General features: G+C 41.9%; 1 pseudogene across 1 annotated transcript in view, besides 1 other annotated feature; it reads left to right on the forward strand.

The window, feature by feature from the left end:
- Positions 1-6,856, forward strand: part of TPRXL (tetrapeptide repeat homeobox like (pseudogene)) — a 128,678-nt pseudogene extending 121,822 nt beyond the window's left edge. The window contains exons 2-3 of the transcript NR_002223.3: positions 4,251-4,380; positions 4,897-6,856. The product of NR_002223.3 is annotated as a tetrapeptide repeat homeobox like (pseudogene) (transcript). The remainder of the gene's footprint in view (positions 1-4,250; positions 4,381-4,896) is intronic.
- Positions 5,639-6,211: an enhancer, noted in NCBI's record as "H3K4me1 hESC enhancer chr3:14106267-14106839 (GRCh37/hg19 assembly coordinates)". NCBI's record gives its function as "activates a minimal SCP1, AML or CMV promoter by ChIP-STARR-seq in primed H9 embryonic stem cells {active_cell/tissue: H9 hESC(primed)}" and the evidence as "EXISTENCE:reporter gene assay evidence [ECO:0000049][PMID:30033119]".
- Positions 6,857-10,210: the final 3,354 nt, after the last annotated feature.

A 10,210-nucleotide genomic window follows, 5' to 3' on the forward strand; every position in this document is an offset into this window, starting at 1 on the left:
TTCATAACAATATTAAGTCTATTTACGATCACAGGATGTTTTCTCATTTATTTATGTTTTCTGTCAGCAGTGTTTTGTGTAGAAAGTCTTTTGTGCACAAGTCTTTTGCCTTTGTGGTTAAGTTTATTCCTAAGCATTTCATTCTTTTTGATGCAGTTGTAAAGATAATTGTTTTTGTTTCCTTTTGGGATTGTTTATTGTTGTCTTTGCTCATTTTTAATTTTTTAAATTTAATTTAATTTTTTGAGACAGAGTCTCACTCTGTCACCCAGGCGGGAGTGCAGTGGCACTATATCAGCTCAGTGCAACCTCTGCCTCCTGGGTTCAAATGATCCTCATGCCTCAGCCTCCCAAGTAGCTGGGATTACAGGCATATACCACTACACCCAGCTAATTTTGTACTTTTAGTAGAGATGGAGTTTCACCATGTTGGTCAGTCTGATCTTGAACTCCCAACCTCAAGTGATCTACCCTCCTCGGCCTCCCAAAGTGCTGGGATTACAGGCATGAGCCATCGTGCCCAGCCATCTTTGCATATTTCTGATTGGGTTGTCTTTTTATTGTTGAGTTGTAAAAGTTCTTTATATATTCTGGATACAAGTCAAGAGATGTGATATAAAGATTCTTACATGGTATTTTTTCCTGTTGTGGAGATGGTAGTAATAATTTGAGGGATAGCATTAGGAGGTATACCTAATGCTAAATGATGAGTTAATGGGTGCAGCACACCAACATGGCACATGTATACATATGTAACAAACCTGCACGTTGTGCATGTGTACCCTAAAACTTAAAGTATAATAATAAAATAAAATAAAAAATTAATAATTTGCAAAAAGGCTTAAATGCAATAAGTCTTAGCTTAACAATAGCTAAAAATAGTTTCTCTGTGTTTTAGAAGTTGGGAATGCTTCTCTTAGAATATAATGCTCATACTACTGTTAATGGGAGTAGACAGCAAAATAAATTACTCACACTGAAGAAATCAAAGCATGCTTTAAGATAAATATGGATCTTAATATAAATAGCATTTACTTTCATTATAACCAACATTCAAAATATGACTAAAAATGCCATCTGAGATACCAAAATAGAGGACAGCCAGCCAATGCACTAATGATAATGTCATTTGGGATCACTGATTAGTGAGACAGCTCTCTATATGACAGTTTTTTTACTTAAAGCTTTTGAGCTCTTAATTTATACAAGATTATGGCAAGTTTTAAAAATCTGTTTTTCAGGCCGGGCACAGTGGCTCACACCTGTAATCACAGCACTTTGGGAGGCCGAGGTGGGAGATCACTTGAGGTCAGGAGTTCAAGACCAACCTGGTCAACGTGGTGAAACCCTGTCTCTACCAAAAATACAAAAATTAGCCGGGCATGGTGGCAGGTGTCTGTAATTCCAGCTACTCAGGAGGCTGAGGCAGGAGAATTGCTTAAACCCGGGAGGTGGAGGTTGCAGTGAGCTGAGATCGCGCCACTGCACTCCAGCCTAGGTGACAGAGTGAGACTCTGTCTCAGAAAAATAAAAAAATATTTTTCAGGCTAGGCATGGTGGCTCCCACCTGTAACCCCAGCATTTTAGGAGGCCAAGGAGTGAAGCTTGCTTGAGGCCAGGAGTTTGAGACTAGCCTAGGCAACATGGCAAAACACTTACTTCTACAAAAAAATTTTTAAATATTTTTAAATTAGCTGGGTGTGGTGATGTGTCTGTAGTCCCAGCTACTCAGGAGACTGAGGCAGGAGGATCATTTGAGCCTAGAAGTTTGAGGCTGCAGTGAGCCATGGTCATGCTACTGTACTCCAGCCCAGGCAACAGAGCAAGACCCTGTCTCCAAAAAAAAAAAGTTTTCCAAATACTCAACAAAATTAAAAGTAGAAAATTAGAGACATGAAGGAAAATGGCTGATAGGCTGATGAAGCATGATAAGGAATATGGAAGGGCAGGACAGAGAAACTATAAGAGGGGCAGTTATGGGAGTTATTTGGTGTTGGGTAGGACAGCCCTGGCTGGCTCCATTTTCTCGAGGACTTCATTGTAGTATAACAGGAAGCAGTAATTTCTTGATGGATCAGCTTCATTGTTACAGATGTCAAAGACTAAATTGGATTTAAGAAGCCATGAGTCTGCAATAACTCAGGAATTTCTCTAAAGTTGTTTAAAAGAAAAATGTTTGGATGCTTACATTTAGAAACTCTCATGCAATAGAATCTTTTACGGCCAGGGCTTTGCTATAATTATTTTTCAGTAGTATTCCTAATGTTGAAAAAAGATTTTTAATTTCTATACTATGAGTAAAGATATTGAATTAGAGTTGCAATTTCATACATACCCTTTGTTTCTTTCCTTTGAAATTCAGAGAAAGGCAATATAATTTTGTATTTAAAGGATTTTGATTTCTTAATTTTAATTTATCTAAATGAAAACCAAGATGCTGCTCTTTATTACTTTCCAATTGGCCTTGAGAACTAAAATATTCTCACTTATTCTGTAGTTACAAAACAATGTCTACTTGTCAGGCATCTTTTAGGTCAGTGTCTCAACTTGCTTCTGCATTTAAAGTGAACCCTCCTTATCAGTGAACAAGCAAATCAACATATAACGTCTTCCATTAGGCACTGTTTTATGGAATGTGGGGACATGTAGAACATATTAGCTGTGGTTTCTGCCCTTTAATAATTTGTGATTTAATTGGGAGGATGAGGTACTGTCTTTGACCATGTCCCATCATTTTAATTGTAACACGATGAGAACTCAGAACTGAAGTTTTCTTGACAGACTGGAATGAAAGGTTAACCTGACAAGTTGACATTTAATAAGGACAATCATCAAGACATGCTCTAAGGCACTTCCAAAATCCAAACTGCACAAGGACGAAGGTCTAATTGACTTTAGAAGTAATATGATTTGTCAGTTGATGTGGTCCTAGCCTGGGAAATAGAAGTAGAGACTTAATTGTGTGATTCTGCTCTAATGAGATCACCTTATCCACATATAATATCATTTGTGGATAGTGTTAAATGGGTTATTGGCAGACTACAGGAAGTGCATTGAGCAACTCACCAAGACCATAGGTAGACCAGAAACCATGTCACAGGGTAATGTACAAAGAGACAGGAAATGTTTGACCCCAAAAACAAAGAAATAGCCAGGCACAATGAAATCATACTCAAGTACCTAAGGAGCTGTTATTTGGGAGGAGGGATGATTTTATTTGTGGCAGAACCAGGGCCACTTGATGGCCCAGGTGACGGAGTAGCAGGGCGTTTGTCTTTGGGTCCAGTGTATTGTAATAATGGCTTGGGTTGCCTTGAAAGATACAGTAAGTTTCTTAAGACTGGAGGTATTTGGGGAAAGTATAGACTGTTACTTGTAAGATATTGTCTTCTTCTATATCTCATTTATCTTTTTATTTTGAAAAATTTCTAACCTATAGGGAAGTTTCAAGAATAATACATACTTGTATGTCCTTCACTTACATTTGCCAAGTATTGACATTTTGCCACATCTGGTTTAGACTTCTACATATTATTTGATGTTATTTATTTACTTTTAATTTTTTGTTGAGCTATTTGAGAATAATTTGCAGATACAGTGATGCTTTACCCCTAAATACTTCAGATCTGGCTGGGTGCGGTGGCTCACGCATGTAATCTCAGCACTTTGGGAGGCCGAAGCAGGTGGATCACTTGAGGTCAGGAGTTCGAGACCAGCCTGGCCAACATGGAAAACCCCATCTCTACTAAAAATACAAATTTAGCCAGGCCAGGCATGGTGGCATGCACCTGTAGTCCCAACTACTCAGGAGGCTAAGGCATGAGAATCGCTTGAACCCAGGAGGTGGAGGTTGCAGTGAGCTGAGATCATACCACTGCACTCCAGCCTGGGTGATGGAGTGAAACTGACTCAAGAAAAAGAAAAAAAAGCTTTCGATCCTTTAAGAACAAAACAAGGATTATTTTCTTACATAATCGCAATATAATTATCAATTTCAGGATATTAACATTAATATTACATGATATACATTTTATATACAGATTTAGCCAGTTGTCCAAATAATGTTGCTTGTAAATTTTTTCCTTCAATCTGGGATCTAATTCAGAACCCCACATTGTATTTAATCATCTCTTTAGTCTCTTTTTATCTGAAACAATTCCTCAGCCTTTGTTTTTGTTTTTCTTGATACTGCCATTTATTTTAATTTTTATTTATTTATTTATTTATTTATTTATTTATTTATTTTGCAGACAGAGTCTTGCCCTGTTGCCCAGGCTGGAGTATAGTAGTGCAGTGGTGTGATCATAGCTCACTGTAACTTCGACCACCTGGGCTCAAACAATCCTTCTTCCTCTGCCTCCCAAGTAGCTGGGACTACAGGTATGTGGCACCACACCTCGCTAATGTTATTTTATTTTTCTGGAGAGACAGAGTTTCACTATGTTCCCCAGACTAGTCTCAAACTCCTGGCCTCAACTGATTTGCACACCTTGGCCTCCCAAAGTGTGGAGATTACAGGCATGAACCACCACACCCAGCCAATACTGACATTTTTTAAGAGGAAAGCAGTTGTGGAATTGTTTGTAGAATGTCCCTTGATTTTGGTTTTTCTCTTTTCATATGATTAGGTTCAGGATATGTATGTCTGGCGGGAATATTATGTAGATGAAGTCGTATCCCATACTAGTGTATCACATTAGGGAGCACATAATGTCTGTTTTATTGGTGATGTTAACTCTGATCACTTTGTGGTATACTGTAAGGCATCTTTTCCCTTTGTAATGAATAAATGTGTGGGAAGAAAAGTTGAGACAATGTCAATATCCTGTTTACCAATAAACTTCTAGTCAGTAGTTTCAGCTTGGTAATATTTGCCCTAATTATGTTCAAGAACAGAGCAGGACCCAGGATGCAAGACCCTAGGCATCCCCAAGGCCTTCCACTGTCCCCAGGCCTTCCAAAGAGACAGCGGCAGGACCGCACAATCTACAACTGGAAACAGCAGGAAGTGCTAGAAAATCACTTTAAGGAGGAACAGTACCCAGACTATGACACACGACAAGAGCTGGCGGAGATGCTCAATCTCAGGGAGTACCAAGTGCAGGTGTGGTTCAAGAATCGCCGGGCCAAACGCTCTCGGGAGCGGTGGTTCCAGAAGCAGCTCCAGCAGCTCCAGAAGCATCCTCAGCAGCAGCATCCTCAGCAGCAGCATCCCCAGCAGCAGCTCCAGCAGCAGCAGCCCCAGCAGCAGCCCCAGCAGCAGCAGCCCCAGCAGCAGCCACAGCAGCAGCAGCCCCAGCAGCAGCAGCTCCACCAGCAGCCCCAGTAGCAGCTCTAGCAGCAGCAGCAGCAGCCCCAGCAGCAGCAACTCCAGTAGCAGCTCCAGCAGCAGCAGCCCCAGCAGTAGCTCCAGCAGCAGCAGCAGCAGCCCCAGTAGCAGCTCCAGCAGCCCCAGTAGCAGCTCCAGCAGCAGCAGCAGCAGCCCCAGTAGCAGCTCCAGCAGCCCCAGTAGCAGCTCTAGCAGCAGCAGCTCCAGCAGCAGCAGTCCCAGCAGCAGCAGCCCCAGTAGCAGCGGCAGCAGCCCCAGTAGCAGCAACAGCAGCCCCAGTAGTAGCAGCAGCAGCCCCAGTAGCAGCAGCAGCAGCCCCAGCCCCCGTAGCAGCAGCCCCAGCAGCAGCAGCTCCAGCACCAGCAGTCCCAGCAGCAGCAGTCCCAGCAGCAGCAGCCCCAGCAGCAGCTGCCCCAGTGCAGCCCTGGGCAGGAGGCCACAGAGCCCACAGAGCTCGCACTGTGCCCCCTTTCCCTGAAGCTGCGGCCTCTGCCCCCCATCAGCCTGGCCTCTTGGGAATTCTCCCACAGGGAGAGGCCCCGTGGGTATTCTCCCACAATCTGCAGCCTCCACCAGGCCTTGAGTAGCTTTGGGTGCAGAGCCAGGAGGGCGTTTGGCTGTCCTAGGTCTAGCCCCTGGCCCAATCCCAGCCCCATTCCAGGCCCACTCAAAAGCCAAGGCCCAATCCCAGGTCCAGGCTCAATCCTAGGCCCTGGCCTGATTCCAAGCCAGGCTTACTCCCAGGCCCAGGCTTAGTCCTAGCCCCAATCCCAGGTCCTGGCCCAATCCCAAACTTAGGATCCCTCCCAGCCCCAGCCCTAGTCCCCTTGTGACCTCAGAGCACTTATGCCTCCAATTTCTTGCCAGACAGTCATTCCCTGACTTCACAGAGCTCCTCCCACCCCTAGACCAGTTCGAGGAATCCTTGGTCTCCACCACGACATCTCAGTACCAAGAGGGGGATGGCTCTATGGACAAAAAGACTCGGGCCCCAAGTGATTAATGGATTTATAGGGGGCCTGTGTCTGCAAAGTCCTGCGGATACCAGTGGACCTGGAGTGGCTGGTTGGTCTACACTGCTGGTGAATGCACCACCACCATTTAACCACCCTGCCGCTGGTGGGCATTTGCTGTCTTCACTGTGTGGCCATCACGACTAGCTCTGCTATGAATGCACCTGCCCTCATTTGAGTTGAGCCTGAGCATTTCGCAGCTGGGATTGGAGTCGCTGCTCATGGGGATGTTTGGCATTAGTGGATGCTACTTGAGAGCTTTGTAAAGAGCTTTACTCAGCACTTCTGATAGTCAGCATTCTCCCTGACACTTAGGATTGTGAGACTTTTTAATGTTTGTGGATCCAATGGCTTATGGCTTCCCTGATGACTGAGAGGTTGAGAAGTTCTCACATGTTAATTGAACCTTAGAAATCCTCATATGTGTCCATTTGTTTGCCCATTTTTCTTCATTTATTTGAATGTATTTTTATATTCTCTTGATAATTAAAGTGCTGCAAACACCCCCCAAAAATACTTGCCCTAATCATTTATTACTATGGTGATTGCAAAGTATGATTTTCTATCACTAATGAACTGTGCCTTCCAGCTTCTCTCTTGCATTGCAAGGGTACTACTATTCAACCTACCCTGTGCATGTATGTAAGCGTCTGTCAGGACAGAGGTAGACCTTATGACTTCTGAGATCCTTACTAACTTGATTCTCATTGAAGAGAAAGACAGTTTAAAGTAATATCAAATTTAAATTTTATAGGAAAAATAAATTTTGGATTTGTAATATTTGCTTTAAGAACATTGAGATATATATGCAGAAAAGTCTACCTCATTCATGTATAGTTCACTGTTTTTACAGTCTCTGTAAACACAGGACACATCTCTGTAAACAGCATTCACATCAACAAGCAGAACATCACCAGCTCTCCAGCAGCCTCACCACCCCAAATGGACTATTTGCTTTTCATTTGGCATAATCAACAGTCTTCTTTCAGTGTTCTGAATAAACACAGGACAGGAAATGTCCAGGAACATAATCTAAGAACAATTTAGTATTTTCAACTTCAAATTCCTGTCTATTTTCCTTCATCAATGAGCCTAGAAAACTTAGAAACATTTGGATATCTTTTAGTTTGCTTCCCTAAAATCTGAACAAACCTTATTAAGTATTTGATTATTCAATATTTTGACCAACTACACATTGTGCCAGACACTGTCATAAATGCCTAGATTACACAGACAGGAACAGGTACCTGACTTCAAGAATGACTGAGGGGATAAATCACAGCTCAGGGGGATACATGCAGTAGTGGAGGGATGTACGAGCAGGATAGGCAGTGTCACCATTCTCAAAGAGCTCACAGTTCAGTGGCTATAGAACCAGTGAGAGGAAAGATTGAAGATAGTGAATCCTAGCAACAGAAGATGCCACTGACAGCCTCCATAGAGGCTTGGCTGCCTTCTGAGGTAGAGTGGCTGGGTGTGGAAAAAGAATGGGAGAAAAGATGATGATGGTCTATAGTAATAGTAATGTTAGTCATTTCTTAAGACAAAGCTGAACTAGTTTCAGCAATTTCTGTATTCAATAAATGTGTTCCCTCTAGGTTAAATGCAATGGTGTACATAGTCTCAACATTAAATGCATAGTAATTACTATTAATAAATGCTCCTCTGTTTCCCCAGTCACCTGGCTCCTCAATCTGCTTCTCTGTCCACAACTTTACTTTGGCCAGGACCACCTGAAAAACCTTCATAGTTCCTCCTTTGCAACCTTGCACAGCACATTGTACATGCATGTTAAGTGGGATCACTAAGCCTTTCGATAAGCCAAAGCAGAATTCAAATCTAGCAGAAATGAGACCTTACTTACATATTCCAGTCTCTTACACAAATCCGATTACCAGTTGCTCTTTTCTTGCTAGTCTGATTTCAGAGGCAGCATAGTGATAAGAGCATGGGCTCTGGAACTAGCCTGCTCAAGTTCAAATCCTAGCTGCTCCACTTCTGGCTGTGTGACATTGGTTAAGTTCCATAACCTGGTGGTGTCTCACTTCCTTAGTTTCTTGAAGAAAATCTTCAGCCGAATTAAATTTAAAGGGGTTTAATTGAGCAATGAACAATTCACCAGTTGAGCAGCCCTCAGAATCACAGCAGATTCAGAGAGACTCCAGGGATGCCTCATGGTCAGAACAAATTTATAGACAAAAAAGGACAGGAATTGGAAGTGAGATACAGACACAGTGGGATTGGTTACATACAGCTCAGCATTTACCTTATTTGAACACAGTTTGAACATTCAGTAGTCTATGAGTGGTTGAAGTATGGCCCCTGGGATTGGCCAACACTCTGCTATTGTTACAGGTGCATACTATTAGGTTTTCAATTTTGTCTGACTATTAAGCTAGGTTACAGTTCATCCACAAGGACTCAAATATACAAGTACAGAGTCCTTCTGGGGCTGTATTTAATTTGCTTTAACAATTCCCCCCTTTTGGTCATTTTCTCAATTTTGAGAGGTTGACTAAAACCTTAGTTATTGATGTTACTGTTACTGTTGTAAATGTACTTATATGATTTTGAAACCTACTGGGAAACAGAATAGTGTGTTTTGCAAGGAGAGAATAAGGACTGAGTAGAGAGTACCTTATGCTGGACCATCCTGTTTACAGGAGAAAAACAAAACCTGGTCTGTTCTAGGATCTGTGTTTTCTTAAAGCCTTAGCTTGATTATGTCATATTTAGCATGAGTCACTCCATATTAGTTTGGTTTGGTTTGTTGGGGCCTAGCACATGAACTCAGTCGAAAATAATGGTTTCCCATAATTTTGTTTTAAAAAATTCCCCCTTTTTGGCCAGGTTCTCACTTAGGTGAGAGTGTGAACAAAACTTAGGGTCCCTCAGTTACCATTATTTTGGGTTTCCGGTCTCAGCACGTCATTCATAAGTTGCAGCGTCCTCATGGTCACCCATTTCTTTCAGCTTTTGTCATTCCAGTTGAAGAGAGACCATTTGATGTCCCAGAGATGTCTGGCAAGCATTTACAACCTTTGAGAGAATACAGCACACCGGGGAGACTATTATGACTATTAGGATGATAATACCAAGAGTTTGGAGTATGGTCCTTACCCAGAGTCCCCATAAACCAAAAACCTAAAATTAAATAGATTAAAGAATGTGCTAGATAGTCTAGTCGCTTGACTAAGTGGTCTTTTCATTAATCTCCTACAACTGAATTTTTATAATTTACCTTGACGTATTTCTCCATAGGCCACAAGTGTCAGCAGCTGCACAGGTACTTCTCTGTTTAGCCAATTCTATTATTTAACATAACTTTCACAAGAGAATTTAGAGTCTGTTGTGTAACGATAGCCTTTAAAGTAGAATTTGCTGTAGAGCCTATTATGAGGGAGACATTTCTAATTATTGCCTCTTTTATTCTAAACCATGGAAAAAGGACCTAACAAATGATGTCCTTCCTATAGAGTGAAGGCCTCCTAGCAATGTTCTTTTTAATCCATGTTGTGGGTTAAGGGGAGTTTTGACTGATTATAAGGCAACATATATACCACTAAAGTTTCTCACCTACATTGGGCCTTCATTTTTTATCTATTAAAGTATAAGGTTATTCATGTATAAGGCTGGGTGGAAAATCCTTCACAGATAAAAGTATACCCTATAAGTGCACATAATAGACCCCATTTTCATTCATATTGTTAATAGAGGCATAAACAAGGAAAAAATATTTAAAGATAGAGTCTCATGATAGAAGAAGTTTTGATCTGTAATCTTGGGAAAAGCCGTTCACATCAAGGATGCCATCTTCTGGGGAGACACTTTCCTGGTTAGCTCAACCCTAAAGGTTCCAATGGGTGTA

The sequence above is a fragment of the Homo sapiens genome, chromosome 3, assembly GCF_000001405.40.
Source record: "Homo sapiens chromosome 3, GRCh38.p14 Primary Assembly".
Taxonomy (NCBI): Eukaryota; Metazoa; Chordata; class Mammalia; order Primates; family Hominidae; genus Homo; species Homo sapiens.